The following is a 27,800-nucleotide window of genomic DNA, read 5'->3' as shown; positions in this document are numbered from 1 at the left end:
TGGACAAACATCCAAACACTATCATTCTGCCCCTGGCCCCTCATATCTTATATCCTTCTCACATTGAAAAATACAATCATCCCCTGCTAATAGTTCTCAAAAGTCTTAAATCATTCCAGCATGAAATCCAAAGTCATAAGTTCCATCTGAGACTCATGCACTTCCACCCATCAGCCTATAAAATCAAAACAAGTTATTTACTCCCAAGATACAATAGTAGTGCAGGCATTGGGTAAACATTCCCATTCCAAAAGTGATAAATTGGCCCAAAGAAAGGGTCAATATTCTCCACACAAGTCTGAAACCCAACAGAGCAATCATTAAATCTTAAAGTTCCAAAATAATCTTCTTTCACTCCATGTCCCACATTCTTGTGTGAGGGGTGGACTCCCAAGGCCTTGGGCAGCCCCGCCTCTATGGCTTTGCAGGGTGCAGCTCATGTGGCTGCTCTCAAAGGTTTGAGTTGAGTGCTTGCAGCTTTTCCAGGCAGAGGTGCAAGCTGCTAGTGCCTCTGCCATTATAGGGTCTGGAGGGTGGTGGCCTACTTCCCACAACTCCATAAGGTAGTGCCTTGGTGGGGACTTTGTGTGGGTTCTACAATCCCACATTTCCCCTTGGCATTGCACTAGTAGAGTTTCTCTGTGGGGCTCCAACCCTATAGCAGGCTTCTGCCTGGGCACCCGGGATTTTCTATACATTCTCTGACATTTAGGCAGAAGTTGACAAGCGTCCTTCACACTTGCATTATGAGCATCTGCAGACCTAACACCATGTGAAAACTGCCAAGGATTATGGCTTGCACTTTACAGAGCTGTGGCCTGAGCTGTACCTGGACCCCTTTGAGCCAAGGCTGAAGCCAGAGTGGCTGGGATGCAGGGAGCAGCCTCCCAAGGCAGGCAGCAGGGCCATGGGCCTGGTACAGGAAACTATTATTTTTTCCTAAGCCTCTGGGCCTGTGATGATAGAGGCTGCCTGAAAGATCTCTGAAATACCTTCAAAACCTTTTCCCCATTGTCTTGGATATTAGCACTTGGCTCCCTTTTACTCATTCTAATTTCTCTAGCAAGTGATTGCTCCACAAGCCTGCTTGTATCCCACTCCTGAAAATGCATTTTTTCTTTCCTGCCACATGGCTTGGCTGTGAATTTTTCAAACGTTTACACTCTACTTCCCTTCTAAATATAAGCTCCAACTTTAAGTCATGTCTTTGCTCCTGTAGCTAACTATAGTGATGTACGATATTTTCTTCTCCAACACTTTGAAAGCCGTGAATCTCTGGCCAGCGACACCCCACCTGGGCCTCACTGGGCCACGCTGATGTGTCCCAGCTTGCCTTTGTTATAGTTTGTACTCGCAGTTGGTAGTTCCCTAGCTCTTGTACTGAACCCAAGAAGGAGGATATTCTGGACATTGAAGGGTGAGGAGGGTGAAGACGAATTTTATTGAGCAACAGAACAGCTCTCAGTGGAGAGGGGATGCAGGAGGTGGTACCCCAATCTCACAGTCGGGCAGTTCTCTCCTCTGTGCATAGCTGGGTCTGGGGCTTTTTATGGCCTCAGCATAGGGGAGGGGCAGGCTGTAGGTACTATTGGAAAAGGCAGCATTCGATTGGGTAAAAGACATTATTTAGAAAGAATCAATTAGGAAAGGGCAGGCGAACAGGAACAGAAGTTCTCACTCTGGGTCGCGGGTTTCATCCAGGACCAGCAGTCTGGTCTTTCAGCCTTCAAGCTGTTTTTTGCTTGAAGGTGGGGTTTCACCACGGACCCACCCCTATCTTCTTGGGCATTTGGCTGCCTCCTGCCGCTCTCAGTAGGTTGTTAGAAGTAGCCAGGCCACCTCTTGAACGGTTTGCTGCTTAGAAATTTCTTCTGCCAGATACCCAAAGACATCACTCTTAACTTTAAGTTTGCACAGATCTCTAGGACATGTACTAGGACATGAACACAATGCAGCCAAATTCTTTGCTAGAGAATAATACAGGTGACCTTTGCTCCAATTCCCAATGACTTCCTCATTTCCATCGGAGACCTTGTCAACTTAGACTTCACTGTCCATATTTCTACCAGCATTTTTGTCACAACCATTTATGTAGTTTCTAAGAAACTCCAAACTTTTCCTTATCTTTCTATCTTCTGAGGCCTCAAAACTCTTTGAACCTTTGCCCATTACCCATTTCTAAAGCCATTTCTACATTTCCAGGTATCCTTATAGTAACACCCCACTCCTTGTGTATTAGCCCGTTTTCACACTGCTGATAAAGACATACCCAAGACTGGGCAATTTACAAAGGAAAGAGGTTTATTGGACTTATAGTTCCACATGGCTGGGTAGGCCTCACGATCATGGTGGAAGGTAAGGAGGAGCAAGTCACATTTTACGTGGACGGCTGCAGGGCTGCAGGCAAAGAGAGAGAGAGAGCTAGTGCAGGGGAACGCCTCTTTTTAAAATCATCAGATCCTGTGAGACTTATTCCCTATCACAAGAACAGCACGGGAAAGCCTTGACCCCATGATTCAGTGACCTCCCACCAGGTTCTTTTTACACCACATGGGAATTTAAGATGAGATTTGGCTGGGGACACAGCCAAACCATATCAGCTTGATAGGAATTTTCTAGTCAAATTTTGCTTTCAATTTGTTAGTCTGTTTGTATTACTATAAAGGAATATTCGAGACTAGGTTATTTATAAAGAAAATAAATTTAATTGGCTCGTGGATTTTCAGGATGTACAAGAAGCATGGCTTCACCATCTGCTTCTGGTGAGGGCCTCAGAAAGCTTGCAATCCTTGCAGAAGGCAAAGCGGGAGCAGGTATGTTACATGGCAAGATAGAGAATGAGAGAGAGAATGGGGAGGTGCCATATACCTTTAAATGACCAGATCTCAGGAGAACACACTCACTATTGCTAGGACAGCACCAAGACATTCATGAGGGATCTGTCCCCATGACCCAAAGACTTCCCACCAGACCCCACCACCAACACTGGAGATTACATTTCAATATGAGATTTGAGGGGGGCATGGCACCAACATTCAAACTATATCAGCATGGATTTGCTACTATGGGCTTGGTATTAGACATGGGTTTGCTATTCCCTCAATAGAACCCAGAATCCATATAGCAGTCATATTATAAGCATCTTACCATTGGATATATTTCTAATGTTTAAAGATACATATCTTTCACATAGTATTGCCCCCAAATGTAAAGCACAGCAATCAAGCAAAGAACAAGCAATTTCCATCGCAGAAAGAAAAAAAATAGGCTTATATGGATTTATTGAAAGAGGGTGTATCTGGATTCTGTACTAAATTTAAGTAATTTTTTCTGAGATAATTTCAACCAAATGAAATGTTTATGTTATATGCTGACTACAGAACATTATTTTATAGTAGCCTGGTCTTGCAGATATGGTTCATTTAATAATCCAACAGATATTTATGGAGAGCCTACTATGTACAGACACTGTCCTGAGAAGAGAAGAGAAGAGAAATATGATAAGTCTTATGTTTTAGAAAAATTGCTACCAGTGGTATGAACTTGTGGTGATGAGTGGAGCTGAGAGTCAAAGAGCACATGCAGAAATTGATGGGAGTCTGGACTGTGACAGTTATAGAGGCAGAGGTGATAGAGAAGCTGATAAATCACATAAGGTTATGAGCAACAAATTGATTCTTTGTTGGACGCCAAGAGTCAGGGAGAGCAAATCTAGAATAATGGCAATTTATAAGTAGGCTAAGTTTGACATTTTCAGTCTCTAAATTATTGGGTTCTATAGGCATACATAAAACACAGTTCTTTGGTACAGCAAAATTACAATTAATTATTATCAATTACATAAACATTAAAATTATTACCAAAAAACCCCCACATTTTAGAATCATCACTTTGGCCTTTTGCAAAGTATGTTCTTAAGGAGGCAGGTCCTGTGAGATATTACATGTAAAAAAATTTTTCATGGTCAAATAAGTTTGTGAGAAATAGCATGATATTCCCTAAAACTTACTAAAGTCTCAAGTCCTTCATTTGTATTTCCCACACTTACTTAATGATAGAACCATGTCTTCTTAAATTCAAATGTTCTACAAACATGCTATTAAAAATATAGATTTAGGCCGGGCGTGGTGGCTCCCGCCTATAATCCCAGCACTCTAAGAGGCCAAGGCAGATGGGTAACCTGAGGTCAGGAGTTCAAGACCAGCCTGGCTGACATGGTAAAACCCCATCCCTACTAATAATACAAAAATTAGCTTGGCGTGGTAGTGCATGGCTGTAATTCCAGCTACTCTGGAGGCTGAGGTAGGAGAATCTCTTGAACCTGGGAGGTGGAGGTTGCAGCAAGCCAAGATGATATCATTGCACTCCAGCCTGGGCAACAAAAGCAAAACTTGGTCTCAAAAAATAAAAATAAAAATAAATTAAAAAATGCAAATATGGATTTATTAACTACATAAGTTATAATCAGGAGCAGTGGGTTCTTATGTTTAATGCATTACAAAGAATATAGGCTTTTAAGAGAAACAACAGCCAATTTGACAAAAGGTCCACAGGTATATGTGGCATATGTCAAATAGCAAAAATAAGAATAGAACCCAAAGGTCTGACTTGCTTTTATCTTCAACCAGTTGTTAAGAGCCAGAAAGATAAAAGCTGCCCTTTTCTCCATTAGCCAATAAGATGACATTAAAACAGAAAGTAAGAATATAAAAAGCTTCTGGAGACCAATATTAGGAGAATCTGTGAAGTTGGCCTGACTTATTATTCCATTTATATAAATATTAGGTTCGTGCAAAAGTAATTGCAGTTTTTGCCATTAACAGTAATGCCCAAAACCGCAATTACTTTTGCACCAACCTAAGGTAAAACAAATTACAATAGATGTGTATCTCAGAGCATAGTTAATTTTCCCTTATTTATAATAACACACTGCATAATTATCACTCACTATAATATTCTGTGTTATTGACTATAAATTAGGCCACGCTGTAGGCACTCATCAGAATAAACATAAAATTATGTTTACAAGTACAAATAACAGAATCTAACATAATATTACCATAAGGACATGTGATTAAATTACAACCTCATAGTATATTTGTAGTTTAAAAGAGCCTTCATATTTCTAAATATGATTTTTAATAAAAGCTGTCCTAAATGTCAGTTATACAAAATAAAATATGTAAAACAAATTCTGGCTGTCAGACACGTGTTAATGTAGGATGGCACAATGTTCATGACTAAGTTACAGAACTGAACTTGAGTTAGAAGTTTCCATTTCTATCATACTTCCCAAATATAAAAATAAGAGTTTAATAGTTTTTGTCACATTCATTCAAAGTATTATAATTTTAATTCTGGAGCACCTTAAAATCAGAAAGAAAATTAACATAAGACATACTGCCCATTCTTGAATGATTCTCTCATCAGTAGCATTATCAGTTGAATGAAGTTATCAGTGCTGAAATAAGAATAACACCTGACTGCTCTAATCTCAGACAATAATGAGTGATGAGAGGGGTGCATCTTTGGTTATTATAATCACTGTCAATTTGTTGTTTTTTCTAGATAATTCTAATTTTAGTGTGTTTAATTCTAACTATTACCTTTTTATAGAACATTAAAGAAAAAAGGCAGAATATTCATCACTCAACGCAATACAACGTACTGTTTGTGTTGTGTGTGTTTTAACTATACTGTATTGCTCTATTTTAAAACTTTGATCAATAATTAATTACAAATTTTTACTTTTTCAAACTGTCATAACTCTTCTGGAGGTACCTAATTCATCCCTGCATGCAGTGCTCTTTAAAAGGAAAATCAGGCATTAACTTCAATAAATTCCCAGTATAAAACCTACACCTATCTATTTCTAATCTCCTTTTCTCAAGTCACAGAGGTAAGCCACTACTGATATCTAATGGGAATCACTCCACTTTTGTTTTTGATCTTATTTCTAGGTCAATGCTGATTTTCCTTGTGTAATGATTCCTTCCTCCCTATTAAATCGACAAAGAACACTCATTCAACTTTGCATCTCCAAACTACTTTATACATTCCCCTCCAATTTATAGTCATAATTCTTGTTACTTTTGTATTTGTTTATATACCACTTACTCTCCATCCATCTATAATCTAGCCTCCCCCACTTGCCCCCTCCCCACTCTAGTTCGGGGGTTGGCAAACTTCTTCTGTAAAGGACCAGATACTATTTTGGGCTTTGCTGGCCACATATATCTTTGTTGAATATTCTTCTGTAGTTTTTGTTTTGTTTGTAACTCTTTAAAAATATAAAAACCTTTCTTGGTCCACAGGCTGGATTTGGCCTGCTGGCTATAACTTGCAGAGAGCTGCTCCAGTTGAAACTACTCTATTAATAGCACCAAAAAACCTCCTTTTGGTGTTTGAGGGGAATAATAAATTGTACTCTGTCCTTCCTGCAAAACTTCAAAGGAAATCAAACGATCAGCTTTAATACTGATGAAATATGAGTGGCAGTGACAACAGGCTTCCTACTAGCTGTCGGCAACAGGCTCAGCCCTACCCTCAGAAGGCGCCCTAAAAAACCTACAGTGTAGAAGAGCACACCAGACAGTGTGCTCTGCAAGAAGGATGGCTCCTAATCTGAAAAAAGGTACAAGTTCCTGTCCAGGGCTCACCAATCAGGAAACTCATTCTGACTCCAAGGGTGAAGGAGCAGGGCCAGATGGCAAGGTGTTAAAAAAAAAAAAAAAAAAAAATCCCTCTTCCTGCAAACTTACACCTGGGGCAGAAAAACTCCACTCTTACACTCCAGATTGCCAAGTCAACCCAGACTTCTTTTGCATTTATTAATCACTTTGCAACATTTACCTCTTTGAACACTTGTTTTTCATTGAAACTCTTCTCCCTTGACCCCCAGGATAATAATTTCTCTGTAGCTACCCAATCTTTATCTGATTTTAAACCTTTGGTGTCTCCTAGAACCTCCTCTTTGCCCATCTTTTCTCATTCTACATACTTTTCAGAGTGATCTTATTCGCTTAAAGAATACCAGTTACCATCCGTATGCTTTCGGTACTAAATCTCCATTTATCTCAGGTCTCTCTTGAGTTCTAGAACTATGAATCCTAATGCATCCCCTGTCTTGTGAATAACAGGACCCCCATATACAGTTTATCAGAAACATTGTTTTCACCCTCATCTTTTTTTTAACATACCACATTGGGCCTGAGGTAGCCAATAAGTCTGCCTCAAGGCACAATCAACAACTCCTGTGATTTCAAAGTAAATTATATATGCAGATAAAGATTGATGAGAAAATAGAATACTTAGATGAGTGGGTGAATGTATTTGTACAGCCATCCATGTCTCACACATAATCAGTGTTGAATCTGAGTAGAATTCCAAAGCCTGCCAGCAAGTAAAACAATTTCCCACTTGCATATGTATTTTATCATTATTATAAAAATGATTAATTTCACACTCATCACAAATGAAAGGTGGGCCACCATTATATTTCTAGGTAACACCATTATAACATTATATTACATACTTTGTTTCTGAGAACAGTAAATTTGAATACTTATAAAGTTTTGTTTGTACACTTTTTTATTTTTCAAATATTTAACACTAGAGGATCTTATTATAAGATGCAAATAAATTATACACCTTAAATTCCATTAGCCATATATTTTTTATATGAAGAAGATAACCATGGTATGAATTTTTTAAAACTTTTTTCTAAAAATGATATTTTTGCCATTTTTTCCTAGCGCCCTGTGGAAGTCGTTCAACAGGTTCAGAAGGCACTGTTCTATCACCAAACTATCCAAAAAATTACAGTGTGGGACATAATTGTGTTTATTCTATAGCAGTTCCAAAGGAGTTTGGTAAGTAAGATTCGACTCATTATGTAGTATTTCATCCAGACATGCTTTATTTTTCACTACATGCTATTCAAAAATTTTAAATGAAAATACGTGCTATCCATAAAGTATTTTACTATGCAATTCTTTTTAGATAGTGATTTTGTAATAATACAATTTTGAGGTCATCTTACTCAATCTGAATTTACAGTCAAGTACACAGGTGAACAACAATACAAAAATGAAAACAGGATTGTTTTTAATTTTTAAAAATGAGTATATCAGTAACCTTGCAAGTGCCTTCATATTGGAATTTTATAAAATGGGAAATTACCAGAGCATAAAGCCAAGGCTGCTCTGTAAAATATGTATTAAGTCAAATATTGAACTATTACAATAGTAACAAAAGTATTTACAAAGCAATCATATCAATTTTATAGTTTATTAACACATTTCCAGAAAGAAGAGTTTTTGGTTTTAAGCATCTAGTTTCTGGGGCAGCAATAAATATAAAAAGACAGCAAAGGACATTTCAGCTCATCTTGTCAACCTGACAATCTGTTCTGCATTGGCACTAAGAAGACAATGTGTCCTTTGCTGCCTTCACATCTTTCTGATCACACGTCTTAGAAGTCACTTATCTGGCTTTTAAAGGTTTTGGTTCTGAGATCCAGCTGGAGCTAACCTAGATTAAGTTCTGTTCACAGATGGATAGGCAAGGGAAATTTAGAGAGCAGTAAAGTGTGAGAGAGAGGCTGAAAGTTCACAGACTTCTAAAATTTAGATTTACAGCATTGTGTTACATAGTAAAGGATTTGTTATAACTATGAGGAATGTCTGGGCCTGGATGACTCAGTATATCAGCAGAAGGACATGGATTTTATCATTAGAGATAGCTGAATAGCATCTTGACTTAACATTTCTGCTGCTGAGATATAAAATAAGCTGATGCTTCCAGTCCAATTTCTTATAACCAGATACTACCTATATATCCTCCTTTTCATCCTTCTGAAACAAGTCCAAGATCTTCAACTTATTTGAGAGTACTGTCATCAGAAATGTAGTACTAAACCTTTTATTTTAACATTGAAATAGAGTGATGATGCCAGCATTAGCAAAGTGTCTGTTTTTGTACTCTACAAAGTATTTCTTTCCCCTAACATATTGATCGGTTGAATCAAAGGTTAGGTCTTTGATAGTGAAGAAAACGACAGTTTAGAAAGAAAAATATCATTCACTTAACTGTGTTTATTTTTTGCCTTTTGAGTCCTTCCTTTGCTAGAGAGTTTTATGCTCCCCAGATGCAAAAAAATGTTACATGGTTGCTGACAGAATCCTAACAATGATTATCCAGAAAACTTCATGGCTCTCTGAGTCCTCTTCGGAAGCCATTAATTTATCGTATTATACTCTGTTCTTGGGAGGCCATGTGGCCAAATGAATGAGAAAGAGGAAAATTAGCCATTTAATGTCCTGACAAATAGACATGCTGGTCATCCTGGAGATGTATTACTGTAGCCTATGTATGCTCAAAAAGAGAAAGAAAAAGTACTAATTGAAATAAAAGTAAATTAACAGATTCCTAAAGAATGAAATCTATAGTTTTGTAGGGTTAATATAAGTTGAATTTAATCCTCTTAATATAAAAAAACTGCTACGTTGAGCCAATAATAGTTGGTTTTTAAAACTGTTTTTTTTAAATGAATCTTCTTGTTTTTTTTGTGGACAAAACAAAGTGTACTTTGATTTATTAGTAAAAAACTAATTTTATTTTACAAATGTTGCATCATTCTTCATTTTAAGTTACATATATATTTAAGCACCTGTATTCTAATTTCAGCCTTGTCACATGTTAGCTATCTGCCCTTGGACAAGTTACGTAATCTCTTTGAGACTGCCTCTTTATTTGTAAATTTGGTATCATTTTGTTTATAGATTAGAGATGTGAGCAGTAAATGAGATATATATATTATATACATATATATACATGTGAAGTATGTCTAACATACTTCATGCTTAATATCATTGGGTTAACGAATGCCAGCTTTCAAGTCAGATTTCTGGGTTCAGGCTCAACTTAACTTACTTGCTATTTTCATTGGACAAGTCCCATTGTCAGCCTGAACCCTACACATCTCTAAAGTAGCAATGATAAATACCTACCTTATGTGGTTATTTTATAATAATTTGATGTATGTGAGTGATTGGCGTAATAACATAGTAAGTCACATGCATACACAAGTACACATATACACATTCTTCTTTATGTTCACATTCATATAAAACTTCCCCTATCCCCTCTTCCACCCCCGAAAAAGGTTAAATTAAATGACATGCATTATTGGATTGAACTAAGGTCTTAAAAATAGCATGGTTAAAATAAAACAATTATTTGTGTTATTTAGTTAAAGCATGAAAACAAATATTTTGGGTTTTATATCCCAGTGACTATTCAATCATCTAATGATCCCGTACAATTTTCTGGGAGTAGGATAATGGTAGTAAACAAATACTGACTGTTGACTTCTTCGTATTACCTTCCTTTACCTCTTTGATGACAGATGGTCAAGCAGTAGTTACTGGATCTCTACAAATCAGATTTCTATTTTGCTTCTGCTTCCTCTCATTCTCACTTTGCCATAATTTTTTTCTGTTGCCACGTTGAGCTATATTTATTACTTTTCAGTATTACTTCATCACATATCACTTCTCACATTTTTTTCTTTTTCTGTCATTTATCCCAAATTATGATCATTCCTTCTTCTATATGTTTCATATACAGATGCTCTTAGAACATGACTTTTACATCGTTTAGCACAGGGATTCCTAACCCCTGGGCTATGGACTGGTACTGGTCCTTGGCCTGTTAGGAACTGGGCCGCACAGCAGGAAGTGAGTGGCAGGTGAGCTATCATTACTGCCTGAGCTCCACCTCCTGTCAGATAAGCTGTGGCGTTAGATTCCCATAGGAGTGCAAACCCTGTTGTGAACTGTACATGTGAGGGATCTAGGTTGTGCGCTCCTTATCAGAACCTAACTAATGCCTGATGATCTGAAGTGGATCATCCTGAAACCATCCCATGGGAAGATTGTCTTTCACAAAACCTGTCCCTCGTGCCAAAAAGGTTGGGAACCACTGATTTAGCACGTCTGTCAAATACACTCAGTGCATTCATTGGATTGCATTTTACATAGGGGTTAAGGCTCTAACATCCTTATGTAAAAAGAAAATCACATATAACCAACATTACACATGAAAATAAATTAAATCACCCATGAAAGATCATCTACATGATTTTACATATGCCATATTGTCTCTGAAATAGTCTAACAGAACATTTTTATTCCTTCAATGTAAGAACAGATGACAGTTTTCAGATAATTCCACATGAACTACTTGTGTTTCTTACAGGTCATGTGGTACCAAATTACTTTTTTTTTTTTTTTTTTTTTTGCCTGGTGTAGAATTAAATGCCTGTAAGTTATTTTTGCCATTACTTTTAATGGCAAAAACCACAATTACTTTTACACCAACCTAATAAATATGTGCATAATATTACTTCGCTTTACTGGTTGATTGAGTAAATACTCTTTGTCAGTCAATTGCCATCTTTTAGTTTTTATAAATAAGACAAATGTCAATTCATAATGTTTTCATGAGCATCACTGAATTTCATTTGAATTCAGGTATTGGGGTCAGATTTTGGAAATATTCATCCTGCAGGATTCTACTTGTTTTATTACTCTCAGAAAAATAACAGTTCTGGATCAATTAGATAGAATTTATTAATATTTTACTCTCCTTATTCTACATATAAGACTAATACATTTGGCTTTTTGGATTTAAAAAATCCTACTTATCTATCAATAAAATATATTTAATTTTTCTTCATTTTTCAATGCTTAATCACCAGTTGTTTTTTCTTATGGTTTAGTTGCCTAAGACTTTATGAATTATATTTAAGTGTCAGAAACATGGAAGACCAATTTTATTTTACTTTTCATTTCGTATAGATAACATGCTTTAGAATGTAAGAGAACTGTTAACATTGTCAGAGGGAAAATTTTTTGTTAATATGTATTATACCTAGAGTATAGGAGTCCAAATAAGATTTCGGGGAGGGAGGAATTAGTAAAATTTGGGAATAAATGTGTAGATTTCTATTTTAACAATCCTGGCTGAGAAGAAACATAAATATATAGGATGACAGTCAAAGTAGAGTATAAATCAGCAGGTAATGTTTGGTTTTTGTTTATTTTCTCTTACTCCAGCAGATACTGGGGTATTTATTTTAAAGCCCAAAGAGAAAGACACAGTAGAGAAGACAAAGCTGAAGATATGAGGTGGATCAATTGGTAAAAAAAAAAAAAAAAAAAAAATACTTTAGGCAATTGGAGGAGATGAAATTTTAAAAACAGAGGGAAGACCTCTTTATAATTCAGAAGAAATAATTTGCAATTAGCAACAAAATATCTGGATTAATTTCACATGAAATATTGAAATATTCACATGAAATATTGTTGGAATTATCATTCCTTCCTATTCTCCCACCTCTATCTCTCTTCAGTCATCCTCTTCTTACTTTCTAGGAATTATCTGTAAAAGAGGATGTATTCATGTCCTAAGGCTACTATAACAAAGTATCACAGGCTTAGTGGCTTCATTTTATTCTCTCACAGTTCTAGAGACTGGATGCCTGAAATCAATGTGTCAGTAATGCCACACTTCCTCTGGCGGCTCTAGAGAAGCATCCTTCATTGCTTCTTCCTAGTTTCTGGTGACTCCCAGCAAGCCTTGAGGTTCCTGGGCTTATAGCTGGTTTACTCCAATCTCTGACGTCATCTTCACAAGACCGTTTCTCCTAACTGTCTGTTTCTGTGTGTCTGTCTGTTTTTTCTTGCTCTTATAATGACACCACCTATTGGATTTAGGGCCCACTCTACTCCAATATGATATCATCTTGATCCTTAACTAATCACATCTGCAAAATCCCTGTTTCCAGATATGGTGACATTCCGGGCTTCTTGGTGAACATAAATTTTGGGGAACACTATTCAATCCACTATAAAGGGTGAACTATATATATACATAATTTTATGTAGAAAATCTTAATATAAGTTGCTGTATAAAGCACGCATCAGCTGTGTGGACTGCAAACTGACATTCAGATTTCTTGGAAAATTCCAACATGTAAAACATCCTGAGGATATCCAGTATAGTCGATGGTGACTTAATTTCATGTTTAGCATTCCAGATAGCTCTACCTCCTAGAAGACACACCCCGAAGACATATTTGTTAGTGTACAGAGCTTATTCTTTCCCGACTAGTTTTCACACTTGGTATGTTCAAAATGGGCATAAAAACCTTACATTTGCCCCAGTAATCTGCCTTCTCACCTATCTTTTATTATTGGCACAGTCTCTTGGTTGCATGTTTCAAATGTATGAATCCCTAAATCATCTGAAGTAATTGTCAATCTAGTCTACTATGTGCAAATGGCACACAGAGTTACCAAACCCTTTTGCATATTGCTGTAGGAGAGGCTTTTTAAAAAAGTAGCTGCCACTGCCTTGAACTTCTTTTCTACTTTAATGTATTTTGTTTATTTCTTATTCACAACCACTATCTTTCTTATTTCTCATTGAAGTATTTTTATTCCAGTTAATCTAGAAACATCTTTCCTTAGGATATTACTCACATTATAAGATTATAATTTTTTAAAAAATATAGCTCTATTATAGTATTATGTTAAAACAGTGATAAGTAGCAACTATTTCATTAATTTTTATTATATTCACTAAATGTATTTTATTTTGGGCTGATAGACTTAGGTAATTACATAGTGGTTATTAAGTGTGATTTGTTTTTGCAATATCACATCTTTCACATTTCTGCATAAATTGTTAACCTGTAAATGGTAATCTGAGAATTTAGGTATTCTTGTAATTCAGAAGAAAAAAGTAAAACAATGGATTGAAAATAAGATGCATACATACTATCTCTAAATGTATACATATATGTTTTTCCATTGGGCATCTGGACTTTTAAATACATGCTAATGTAGTTTTGACTTGGATATGTATTAATGAATTATTCTCATCTTTTATGTTAAAAATAATAGCAGTTCATTTTGTGTATATTTTTCCTTAAAATTCACACATATATTTGACCATTTACTCTTTGGTCTTATGTCTGTGAGTTTTTTTTAACAATTCAGCAACACAGTCTATGTTGTGGTTACCTCTTTTTATGCTTAATTCAATCATTTATTGCCACCAATTTTCTCCATATTTTAGGGACAGATTGTTTTTAGATTACTTTTGTTTGCTTGTTCAATCAGTAAACCATTTTATTGGCATTTTATTTTCCCCAGTATGAAATTTTCAGTAATGAATGAATACTTAAGAAGATCAATAAAGGCTTTTATGTATTTTTTACTTAAAGTATATGACACTTCACTTTTTAACAGTACAATTGCATTAAAACCAATTATTACTCTTTTTTAAATACTGAATTTATCTAACAATGACACATATTCACAATATGTGTGTTTATTCAAAACTTGCGTTTACTATTTGTCATTACTTTTTAGATTTGGAGCAATCGAAAAGAACAGGGAACTCTTTTTTTTTTTTTTTGAGATGGTGTCTCCCTCTGCTTCCCAGGCTGCAGTGCAGTGGTGCCATCTCGGCTCACTGCAACCTTCGCCTCCTGGGTTCAAGTGATTGTCCTGCCTCAGCCTCCCAAGTGGCTGGGATTATAGGCGCCCACCACCACATCCAGCTAATTTTTGTATTTTTAGTAGAGATGAGGTTTCACCATGTTGGCCAGGCTGATCTCAAACTCCTGACCTCAGGTGATCTACCCACCTGGGCCTTCCAACATGCTGGGATTACATGTGTGAACCGCCACACCCAGCCTCTTTTTTTCTAACTGATGGTTGTTTTAATGTAAATTAGCAGAAATTACTATGTTATTTGTGTGCCTATAAGAAAGGAAACCCCTATTTTTTAAGCCTATCATTTTAGAGAAGGGAAATATGATTATCATGTGTGCTTATGATTATATTATTTAATTTGGAGGGTATAATTTATATAATTAGATCTCAAGCCATGGCTTGGCCATTTGGTTGAACATGATCTGCCTCTCACCCCACCTACATTTCAAAGACTGTTGAAAACCCATGGGTAGCGAGGTAAGGCTGTGGGCCACAGTATTCTATCCCATAAAAGGCAAAGGCTGAGAGGCTGTTAAAACAGGCACTAAACAGAACATATGATTCAAATCAGTGATAATAGAATATTTACTATCTGATAATTGGATGGAGTCAGTAATTTCAATAGTATTGATTTTGAGGCCTTTAATATGTGAGACGACAGAATGAAAGTTGCAGTAATTCACCACGAGGGGGCATTAATTTTTTCCAGGCTTAAAAGCAGCTAAAATAGGCTACTAAATGGAGACACAGTGGGGATAATCACCCCTTCTCTAAATACTTTTTCTAAAATGGGTTTTAATGTTTAAAGGCCCTATGTTATTTTACACTGGGCTATATTAACTAACTTTTAACTGAAGATAAAAGTCCATAGAGTCCTAATTTGTCAAGCCTATTGTAAGTGCCAAAGACTTTATTTAATTTTACTACCTTTTTGGTCAGAGCTTCCATGACCACTGTGGGATATTTAGGTAAGGCAATAACGCTGATGATTAAAATGAGGCATACTTCTTTGTTCACCATTTTATATTTCATATCTCCTTTAGATTATAGGGTGTGCCTTATTGAAATTTAGTGGGATCCCCAGGAATAACTGTATCTGAGCCTCTGTATAGATTAAGGCCATGAAGGTTTGCTAAGTGGTGCATCTCAGTAGATGTTGCACTTAATTTAGAACCCATATTGTAGAGACATAAAAACCAATCAGAGACATTTCATATTTTTACATTATAAGTTTTTGTGTAAATTTTGGATTTCCAGTTGGGTCAAATTGTGGATCCTTCTCTTTTAATTTTGTATTTCTTCAACCTGTATGTAGTTTATTGTTGTTTTCATTTCTGCTTTAAGGGTTACTATATGTAACTTCAGAGGAGGGAAGGTCTCCTTACCCTACTTATATTAATTATTAATCATAATTATTTCATAATTAATAAATTTCTTCCTCCAAAGTATCTCAAATTAGTAACTTCAAGGTTAGAAACAATGGTTGCTTTATAAGGTTTAAGAACTCTGGGTTTATTTTAAGTTTTCATCAACTCATCAGTTGTTCCACATAGGTGCCATATGTGTTTTCCTCTAAAGCCTGAGGATTAGATTCTTTGTTACAACAGAGACCTGGATAGCAATATCAGCAAAGGCAATTTTTTTTTTTTTTTTTTTTGAAACAGAGTCTCGCTCTGTCGCCCAGGCTGGAGTGCAGTGGCAAGATCTCGGCTCACTGCAAGCTCTGCCTCCTGGGTTCACTCCATTCTTCTGCCTCAGCCTCCTGAGTAGCTGGGACTACAGGTGCCTGCCACCACGCCCACCTAATTTTTTTTGTATTTTTAGTAGAGACGAGGTTTCACCGTGTTAGCCAGGATGGTCTCGATCTCCTGACCTCGTGATCTGCCCGCCTCGGCCTCCCAAAGTGCTGGGATTACAGGCATGAGCCACCTCGCCCAGCCAGCAAAGGCATTTTATAGGGTTTTAGTGAGTCATCTTCTTTTAGGAGGTTAGAACTCAGCACACCATATGGTAGCTCTTCTTTCTCACAATCCACCATCCAGTGAGCCCATGTATTGCACAGGGTATCAATATTTTCCCTGGGTCTTCTCTAGAAAAGGGGCCGGTGACTGCTTGACACACACAACCAATAGCCACACAGTAAGAGTTGTTTCTCTGAACTTAACATTAGTCACAGTTTTTGCTGGAATCAAGATATGTGATTCATTATAAAGTACACAGATAAGTCCAGGCTACAACATACAACAGGGTCACTTTGATGAGGACCCAACCCTTGGTTCTAAATGCCAGTTATTAAAAGATCTGATGTAGATTGGTTAAAACTGTGATAACTTGGAAAAACTCAGAAAATGCAGCACAAAGCAGCATAGCTCTAAGTGCAAGTTTGCCAGCAGACAGCAGAGCCAGTTACCAAGAGAAAACAAGAGAAGAAAGACCTCTAGTGGTTGTAGTCATCACTTAGACATCTTCCTCATTGCATTCATTGTTGTAGTCACTCTGCAGTTGGTTTGGACTTCTTTTTTTCTCTTTCTTTGAGACAGAGTCTTACTCTGTTGCCCAGGCTGGATTGCAGTGGCATGACCTCGGCTCACTGCAACCTCTGCCTCTTGGGTTCAAGTGATTCTCTTGTCTCAGCCTGCTGAGTAGCTGGGATTACAGGTATGTGCCACCACACCCAGCTAATTTTTGTATTTTTAGTAGAGATGGGGTTTTTCCACTTTGATCAGGCTAGTCTTGAACTCCTGACCTTGTGATCTGCCCACCTTGGCCTTGGCCTCCCAAAATGCTGGGATTACAGGTGGGAGCCACTGCGCCCAGCCCTGGTTTGGATTTCAAGACTGATACCACACAAGCACAAGGAAGTATGAAAAGCCGTGTTACTCACAAAATGAGACTTTCTAGGGAGAGCAAGGCAAACTGCCAAGCAGTTTCAAAATGCGTGAGAGAGCAGAGAAGGGAGATTGACTGTGGAGTTTTATTGTGATTATGGAGTAGCAGTGGGGTGAGAGTTTCTGTGTACAGGTGAGTGCTTGCATGATTTAAACTTACCACTGGTGGCAAAGAGGCAGCACTCAGGTGACCTAATCAGCTTGCCCAGATATGAGGCAGAGGGGAAGGAGGAGTGGTGGGGCTTGAAAGTTGTCAACAGTTAAACATTAAAAATGATTTTACATGTTTTAATATAAGCTGTAATTTATACGTGTGTATCATATATATAGTCATATATATCTTTCTGTTGTTATTATATTATCTTTCCATTTTAAGCAAAGTTATTTCCTTTCAACTTGCAAGAATTTCACTATAATATGCTCTAGAATGGGATTAGCTGAATTTTCAAAATAACTGTCAAATAATCGATTAGATTCATATGATGGTTATCTATTCACATTCATTGTGTATAAGTGCCGATGTTTATGTTTCATATTTCTGCTGCTGTAAGGCAGTTATAGAAAATAAGTTATGCTTAATAATTCAGAAGAAAGCTGAAAAATATAGTGCAGGAACATGAAGCTAGACATTTTACAACAATTTGTTTAAACAGTGGTTATGACATTTCAACATATTAGTACTTTCCCCATTTATGGTTGTTTTTAGTTTTTGCTTCATTTTACCAATGTGATAAGTTCTGCAGTTGTCCTGTTAGGCTATTTCATACCAGGTGGCATAAAGCTGCCGAAGATTATTTTGACATGAGGTTCAATGTCATAAAGTCAATGATGGTAACAATTGTAAACTGAAGAGAAGATTGAGCGGTTACTGCGAAATAGTGGGAAACAAGGTGAACTGGGGATCCAAAGGTCTGGATTGCAGTCGTTTGCCTCTAATTGGCCATGTGACTTTAAGCAAATTACTTAAGCTTTCTGGTCCTCATTTTCTTGATATATAAAATAAAAACTTTTGTCCCCAAGGGACTTCCTAGTTTAAAAAATAGGTGAAATCTACTTTTGAATTTAAAGAGTATGCTACTGGAAGCTAGAGAATTAAAGTATGGGAAAGTTGCACCAAAAATCTGCTTACAGAAGTACATGGATTCATATAATTTCATTAAATTCCAAAGATAACTATAAATTTAACCTAAATTCTGAATCTTTTATTATTCTGCAAAAGTAAGATTAGTTATATAACAATGGCATGCTACATTCTTCTCTGTAATTTTCTTTCTTCTTTTCTCTTTTTTAATGCATCGGAATATCCGTGATGGTCAGTTTTAACTTTCTCACTCTTATCATTAAAGTGTAATAAATACCTCCAAGATAACTTTGCATTTTTCAATTCATTACAAATGCTAGAAAATTGACTTTCTACTTTGTTTCCCTGCTGGTATTTAGGCACAAAATAATTCCTTGAATGAGCCTGAATATTCATATAGAGAGTAAACATTTCTTGCAAAGTTTCACTATAAAATTGTTGGTCTTCTCTTTAAGATGTTGATATGGGAAAATATTTGAAATAATAAAAAGAAAAAAGTTATACATATATATTAATATAGATGCATTACTTTTTCTGGAAAACTTTTTATGGAGAAGTCATTACATACAGCCTTTTTTAGTATTTCATTATTCTGTCATGCAGAATCACATTTGTAATATTTCATACCATGACAGATTAAAGCTAGAAGATAAATGATTTATAAAAGCACACAGCATGCCACAGGCGGAGTCTTTTGTAAACAAGGAATAGTCATCATTTCTGACACTATCCCACTGATGTTTTAGGATAGTATAACGATCTCTAATTGTTTAACACTGCAATGCAATGCTGATTATAATTAAAACACACATGTTTGGTGTTTTTTTCTGTTTTGGTGACTCATATGATTTAATTACCTACTTTAGACTTAACAAAGGCTAACATTTGCATTTTGAAATAATGTATTTGAAAACTCAATAAATTATATTTCAAATAGGTTAGAAGATTGATAGTGCTTATTTTGTGCTTGGTATACAAACATATGGTGCACATCACACACTAAAAATCTGTGATTCCAGTCTCTGAGTTAGAGGGATTTGAATAGTATTCTCTTATAACTTTATAAACCCTTAACATTTCAACCTAGCGGCTTTTGCTGAGAAGCAGAAACTCGAACAGAGATTTAACTGGAATATTTTCCAAATTCACTGAAGCTGTGGTTTATACTAAAATACCAGACTAACTATCAAAGTTTCATCTATTATACTGCTTATTTTAGCAATATTTTATATAACAAATGTTTTTCAATCTTCTATAATATTTATTTTATTGTAACAGAGTTTGCCCATTAAAATTCAAATTAAAATCTTTCATTCAATGGTAGATAACATAAATGAAATCAATATCTGGACAGAGATCATATGGGATGGTGGGTGCAGTGGTGAACTAAAAAATCCATGCCTTCTTGAAGGTAGTTTAATTCTATAACATTTAAAACACAGTATGGACTAAATAAAACTCAGCTGTAGATTGAATTTGACTTTCAATCTAGTATGTTTGCTGTTCTTAGTGTAGGGGTATGGAAACTTCATGCTGCTTTCTCTTTTACTTAACCCCTTTGCTTCTCCTTACTATCTCTAAATTTGTAGAAATGTGCTATAAATAATTCTAACCTCATTGTGGGTAAAGATCTATATTATATTGCTTGTAAGTGGCAATTATTCACTAATTTGCTCAATTATTTATTTACACTGTGTGTATACATCCAGCCTTGAGCTAGAATCTGAATGTTCAGGTTATGTAAACAATGGTTCCTGCCCTCTAGGAGATCACAGGAAAAGGAATTAGAAAATTAAACAGTTTATTCAGGAAGAATGTGGAAACTGCTATAAACTACGATGTGGGAAACTACCGTTTGTAAGCATGCTATGGGTAAACAGAGGAGGAACAGCTAAGGCAGGCTGGTGGCTGATTTGAGAAATGGGGATAACCGTGACAGAAACATTGATCTGATGAGATGGCACATGACCTAAGTCTTAATGAATGTGTAATTGTTAGCTGGAGAAGGACATTCCAGCCAAAAAGAACAACACAAGGAAAGATGTAGAGATATGGCATATGTTTTCTGAAAGGGACTATATATTTTTATCTCTAGTTGAAGAGCAAAGTACTAGTCAGGAACTAATATGCTTGAAACTGGTAAAGAAGGCAGAGACCAGATTATGAAGTGCCTGGTATGCCATGTTAAATCAATTCAACAAATGCTTATTGTGTTCTCACTTTGCTTCAGAGAATTATTTGCTAGGCTGAGGCTACCTAATGCCCAATGAAACAGAAATGCTTAATTGTTCTTGTTAGTATATTGTCTAATTGAGTAGTCAGATAACCCAGGGATAATATTCACCTGGTACTTAAGGGCACAACAATTTTCAGTTGTTAGAATTTTGAAACATTTACATGTACTGACAAATAGCCACTTTTCCAATCTCTAAAATTGCTCCATAATTCTCTGGCCGCTGGCCCTTCCCCAGCCTAGCAACACTTTTGACTCTTCTGTACCCACGTCATACTGATTAAATATTTTGAGAATTACCTTGTAAACATAATTGAATAAACCCCCCCCCCCCACACACACACACAACACACACACAATTATGAGCACAAATTTGGCTAGTGAGCATGAAGGGTGAGGAAAAAAAACCCAAAGTATAATGAGAAAGGATAACAGGAGGATCAAATTTAGATTAGGGAGATGAGTGAAAACTGCAGTATGCTGAAAATCGAAGGATGAGAAGGAGGTTGAAATGTATCTCCTGTACCATAGTAACTAATTAAGCTATTTTGCAGGGGATTAACAAAACCCGTTGGACATTTTAGTTAATATTATTTGTGGCAGGGAGAGAGTGGTTGTTTCAGAGGTATGGATGAGAAACAATGAGGGGATTAATTTAGGCAGTGGAGAAGGGAGGAAGCATTCATTGTTTGTAGAAGATAGTAGGGATGAGTGAGATCTGTGTATGTGCCTGAGTATGTGTGTATGTCAATATTCTAGTGTAATTCATGGTCTCTAATGATGGCAGCAGGCACATGAGTAGAAAGGAGCAAGTGATATTACAAAGACCTTGAGAACTGCTGTCAAAGCCCTTCCTGATGTCTAGACTTGAGATATGAATTCAGTGTCCAATCACCAGCTTTGCAGTTTCAGAAATTCAGTGTTGTCAGCTACCTCAGAAAGTATTCACACTTCAGGAGACAGGTTCACATTGTTTTCCACTCATCAAACCCAAAGGGACTGATTTATAAATCACAATACCAATTTCCAACTCTTTTTGTGAGAGAATATCTGGCAAGCTTGGCAGTCTTGGCCTTTTGCCTAGAACGCTTCATGTTGGTGGAAATAACTACTCCTTGGACAAAAGCATATAATTACTTTAAAAATTATAGTCACAAGCTTATTGACATTTAAGGATACCAGGAAGTAGTGTGATGTACTAATGAAAAGTTTATTTCAAACTACTACAGCTGGAAGAAATGTTCTTATCTACTCTAGAGACATTTCTTTATTTAGAATTCACTAAACCAACTTTACCCAAGACTTTGGGAGGGTAAACTAACATATCTGGGTGAGAGGACAGGGACATAAAGTCCAGCAAAATTTGGAAACATGGGGTTTAAAAAATATTTTAGGCTTATTTTCTCTAAGGATGCTAAGTGTCTTTAATAAGCCAATATGGATATTTTCTCTATCTCTGTTTCTCTGTGTGTGTGTGGGTGTGAGTGTGTGTGTGTGTACGTATTTGAAGGGGACTGTCTTTACAAAGTTGCAGCTCAATGAAAATACTGCGCTAATATGTCATCTCTTTGTGATCAAAGGTTGTATTTTTTTATTATTGAAAAAATAAAAGAGCTTGACAATTTTTTGCACATTAAAACAAATCTCAATATGTATTTACTGAAAATGCAAACAATTGAATTAATCAATGAATTAAGTAATCCTTTATCCTGGGTGAGGAGGACATTTTCTATGTTTCTTCCAGATACTTATTTACCATATTTATTTACCAAGGTATTAGCTTAATCATTAACCAAATGTTTGCTTAGTTGATCACTCCTCCATTCTTGGAAAAAATGTGGGTAAGCATCAATCTTGACACAGTCCTAAGCATTTAGACATTCATATGCAGCTGGGAGAAGCTAGTCCAGGAGTTATCTTACAGCCAAGATAAGGAGTATGGAGCCACAAACTCTGGACTGACACTTTGAGATTAGAAAGGAATGAGGAGGCCTAAATGCTTCATTTTAGCCTCTTCCCAGTTCCTCTTCACCTATTCCCTGCTCCTAAATTCCTCAACTTTACTCTGGCCTGGCATTCTCTACATTTTAGACATTTAGATAAAACTCTGGATAAGATGAGAAATTACATTTCTTGAACATTTAAATTTGTGATATGAGAACTGTATCATTTCATATAAGAGCTTTAAAAGACATTTCTCCGTAGAATTAACTGAAATATCATTCTGCAGGAAATATGGGTCACAGAGCATGCTGTAGGATTCTAGTAGCATTATACCTTTTAAGAATTCAGTTTAGACTGTAAATTCTTGATAAAATTGTACAGGCTTACTATTTCTGAACAATCCAGTTCTCTCACTCGCCTGTGAATTCTCTTCACTCCATTCCCCATGCAGGGAAACTTCTATCTAGGGTGTTGGTGGTACAAAATAAATAGGGCAGAGGAAAAACTCCATCTGACTAGCCAAGCATGTGTCCAATTATTTTCAATATTAATGCCCACACCTCCCCTTTGAAGCTTGAATTTGACTGTGTCTTCTCTTCTGTTACTTCTAAAATGAGGTAGGGGCACTAGAATTAGAATCCTATCCGAAGAAGGATGCAAAGTCCAAGGTTCTGTGGGTAGAGGGAGAAAACATTAATGAATGTCACATAATATTATCTCATGACATATAAATCAGTTTTGTAAAAGAGATTTATATTTGAATTTTAATTTGGCCTATAATTTCTCAGGAACACATCCATTTTATAATTCATATTTGACTGATAAGTTAATGTTTGTATTTATCTTTAATAGCTCTTTTGGGTTTCTTTGCATCATGTTTGAGTTTGTAATCATATTTCATGAGGGTTTGTGTCTAGACATGTTTGTTCAAACCTAAAACATGTACCCTGCAGTAAAAGGACAAAATTTATAGCTATATAATCTAGCTTTCAGTATTAATTATAGACCTTATGTGTAATCTCATGTAAGTTATTTATTCTTTCTGACATCTCATCTATAAAAAAGAGATAATTATATCTGACCCACCCTAAACCATAACATTTTTGTAAGTATCAACAAGAAATGTAATAGTTATAGCTTTTCAATATTTTGTTTTCTTGTTGGTTAATTTTAAGAAATATGACATTTTAGAAATATGATTTTAAGTATATTTTGTACTACTAAACAGGTATTTTTTCCATTTATTTTCTTTAGATAATAAGCTTCCCCTCTCTTCAGAAAGCACATTTATGTTTTCTTAATAGTATTTCATAGAACTATTTATTTCTACTCAGTGCTTATTGCAGTTAATTAATGAAACCTGAGTTCCACAAACTGCTGCTACTAAGTTTCCTCTGTCTGGTGATTGCCCTTCACACCTATTTGCTAAATTCTAAAACTTACCAAGTTATCTCCCTTCATTTTTGCTGATTTCTGCTATAATTTTCTGTGGATTTCCTGTTTGAAAAATAAGGTCCACATTCATAGTTCTTACCTACTTATAAAGCATATAATTAGATATTTTCTTTCAGTTCTCTACTGCTCATTTTTCTTCTATAATATTTCAAACATAATCCTTTTCCACATTTTTTTTCCGGCTTCCAAATTTTGTTTTACATTTACTGAGGAAATTATGTGTTGTCTGGATGTACTTCCAAATAATTCCAGTGTAGAACTCAGGTGGTCAGAGTATAGGGCTAGTGTGGTTTATATGAATAAAACTAGACCATTGATAAATAAAAAATTTTGCTGTGTTAATTTTTTAATCAGCTGAACTTCCAGCAGCATTTTCAAAAATATGAGACAAAAAATAACTATAAAATTTATGCCTTCCTTTTTTTTTAAATCCCAGCTTGCATCATCTACAGTTGATTGAGGAATTGCCATGAGACAGTTTTCCCACTGAGGCAACATGCTGTGTAATCTAAGAGCTATGTGAAGCTCTGTGAAACTGAGCAAGTCACTTGATGTCTTTGGGTCTCAGTTTCCTCATCTGTAAAATGAGCACGTTGAAAAAAAAATGCTAGGAAAATCTTTCACTGTAAATTTCCCTGACTTAGGCATTGATTATGCTTTGATTTATTTATTTATTTATTTATTTATTTATTTATTTATTTACTTACTTATTTTTATAATTTCAACTCTTATTTTAGATTTGGGACTACATGTGCAGATTTGTTACATGAGTATATTAAGTTTGACACTGAGGCTTGGGGTACAAATAACCCTGTCAGCCAGGTACTAAACATAATACCCAATAGGTAGTTTTTCAGCTCTGGCTTCTCTTCCTCTTTGTTCCCATCCTTCTGTCCATGTGTACCCACTGCTCAGGTCCAATTTACAAGTGAGAACATGTGGTATTTGGTTTTCTCCTCCTACATTAAATTGCTTAGGATAACGGCCTACAGTTGCATCTATGTTGCTTCAAAGGACATGATTTCCTTCTTTTTATGGCTGCATATTATTACATGATGTGTAAGTAATACATTTTCTTTATTTGGTCCACCATTGATGACCACCTAAGTTATTCCACATCTTTGCTGTTGTGAATAGTACTGTGATGAACATGAATGCATGTGTCTCTTTGGTAGAACAATTTATTTTCCTTTGGGTATATACCCAGTAATGGGATTCCTGGGTCAAATGGTAGTTGTGTTTATTGGTTGGTTTTTTTTTTTTTAATATAGGGTCTCACTCTGTCACTCAGGCTCGAGTGCAGTGTTGTGAATACTGACCACTGTAGCCTCGACCTCCTTGGCTCAAGTCATTTTCCCACTTCAGCCTCTTGAGTAGCTGAGACCACAGTCGTGGTCATTTTAAATATTTTGTAGAGACACAGTCACTACAAAAGATGCTGAGTCCAGTTTTTTAGATTTTTTTTTGTAGAGACAGAGTCTCATCATGTTGCCCAGGCTAGTCTCAAATTCCTAGGCTCAAGCAATCCTCCTGCCTTGGCCTCCCAAAGTGTTGAAATTACAGGAATGAGCCACTGTGCCTATCTAGGTATTTTTAAGTTCTTTGGAAAATCTCCAAACTGTTTTCCATAGTGGCTGACCTAATTTACATTCCCACCAACTGTATATAGGTGTTCCATTTTCTCAACAGCCTCATCGATATCTGTTATTTTTTAACTTTTTAATAATAACCATTCTGACTAATGTGAGATGGTATATCATTATAGTTTGGATTTGCATTTCCCTGATGACTAGTGGTGTTGAGCATTTTTTAAATATTTTGAGAAATGCCTGTTCATGTTATTTGCCCATGTTTTGGTGGAGTTATTGGTTATTTATTTGTTGCATTATTTAATTTCCTTATAGATTATGAGTGTTAGATCTTTGCTGAATGCACGGTTTGTGAATATTTTTTCCCATTCTTTAGGTTGTCTGTGTACTCTGTTGATTGTTTGTTTGTTTATTGTCTGTTTTCTGTGCAGAAGCTCTTTAGTTTAATTACGTCTTACTTGTCAATTTTTGTTTCTGTTGCAACTGCTTTTGAGGACTTAGTCATAGATTATTTGCTAAGGCCGATGTCCAGAATGGTATTTCCTACATTTTCTTTTAGGATTTTTATAGTTTGACGTCTTACGTTTAAATCTTTAATCCATCTTGAGTGAATTCTTATATATGGTCAAAGGCAGGAGACCAATTTTATTCTTGTTCAAATGGCTAGCCACTTATCCCAGCACCAATTATTGATTAGAGAATTATTTTCCCATTGATTATTATTGTCGACTTTGGTTGTAGAAGTACAGCTTTATTTCTGGGTTTTCTATTCTGCTCCATTGGTCTATGTGTCTGTTTTTGTACCAGTACCATGCTGTTTTGGTTACCGTAGCCTTATAGGAGAGTTTGAAGTCGGGTAATGTGATGACTCTGGCTTTGTTGTTTTTTGCTTAGGATTGCTTTAGCTATTCATGCTCATTTTTGGTTTCGTATGAATTTTAGAATATTTTTTCTAATTCTGTGAAAAATGACATTGGTACTTTTATGGGAATAGTGTTCAATTTGTAGATTGCTTTTGGCAATATGACCATTTTAACAATATTGACCCTTCCAATCTATGAGCATGGAATATTTTTCCATTTGTTTGTGTCATCTGTGACTTATTTCAGCACTATTTTGTAGTTCTCCTTGTAGAGATCTTTCACCCCCTTAGTTAGATTATTTCTAGGTATTTTATTTGTTTTGTGGCTATTGTAAATGTTATTTCATTCTTGATTTGGCTCTCAGCTTGAACGTTATTGGTGTATAGGAATGCTACAGATTTTTGTACATTGATTTTGTATCCTGAGACTTTACTGAAGTCATTTATCAGGTCTAGGTACATTTTGGCAGAGTTCTTGGTGTTTTGTAGGTGTATGATCATATTATTGGCAAAGAGAGGTAAGTTGACTTCTTTTCCTACTTGGATTCCTTTTATTTCTTTCTCTTGCCTGATTGCTCTGACTGGGACTTTCAGAACTGTGTTGGGTAGGGGTGGTGAGAATAAGCATACTTTTGACCTATGGATTGTATTCTGTTTCTCTTGACTAATCTGGAGGTTAGTAGAGGTGGATTTTCATCCCAGTTCTGCCATTTACTTACTGGTAACTTTGATAAAGTTACTTGTTCAAGTTTTTTCATTTGAGGAAATAATTGTCCAGCTTCTTGCCTTTTTACCAAGAGTCAGGAATCTGATGAGATATAATTTATTTAAAGCATTGAGCACAGTACACGCCATTTGCAAAACGCTCAATTAATTTTAACCAGTATTTGCAATAACATCATTTAGGCCATTGCTTTTCTCTTAACTGTAGTTGATTTGTTTTGTGATTCTTTTCAGTGTATTTCATAGATCAGAGTTCAGAAAACAGTTCAGAATTCTACAAAATATTTCAGGAAGATTTTTATAATTTGCAGAGAAGGATGGAGTGTAGGTTAGCTGTGTTAGAATGTGTAGGTTAGCTGTTTGAGTGCTCAATTCAGTAATTAAAGAAAAAATGCATTATTTAAATAAGCAACAGATGAGTGATGTAATCAAATAATCCATTGCTATGTGAAAACTCT

The 27,800-nt window shown here is 35.9% G+C and overlaps 1 protein-coding gene across 10 annotated transcripts in view, besides 1 other annotated feature; it reads left to right on the top strand.

The window, feature by feature from the left end:
• The window catches only part of CSMD3 (CUB and Sushi multiple domains 3), a 1,214,012-nt gene that overhangs the window by 956,478 nt on the left and 229,734 nt on the right, over positions 1–27,800 (top strand). For all 10 annotated transcript variants that reach the window (NM_001363185.1, XM_017013010.2, NM_052900.3 and 7 more), the window contains one exon: positions 7,755–7,871. In NM_001363185.1, the coding sequence (NP_001350114.1) occupies positions 7,755–7,871 (117 nt within the window). The remainder of the gene's footprint in view (positions 1–7,754; positions 7,872–27,800) is intronic.
• Positions 12,557–12,744: a silencer, noted in NCBI's record as "fragment chr8:113479947-113480134 (GRCh37/hg19 assembly coordinates)". NCBI's record gives its function as "represses an EF-1alpha promoter that drives an FKBP-Casp9 reporter gene in an ReSE screen in HepG2 liver carcinoma cells {active_cell/tissue: HepG2}" and the evidence as "EXISTENCE:reporter gene assay evidence [ECO:0000049][PMID:32094911]".

This window comes from Homo sapiens, chromosome 8, assembly GCF_000001405.40.
Source record: "Homo sapiens chromosome 8, GRCh38.p14 Primary Assembly".
Taxonomy (NCBI): Eukaryota; Metazoa; Chordata; class Mammalia; order Primates; family Hominidae; genus Homo; species Homo sapiens.
Note: the sequence above shows the minus strand (reverse complement) of the source record. Positions and strands in the feature narration are given on the sequence as shown.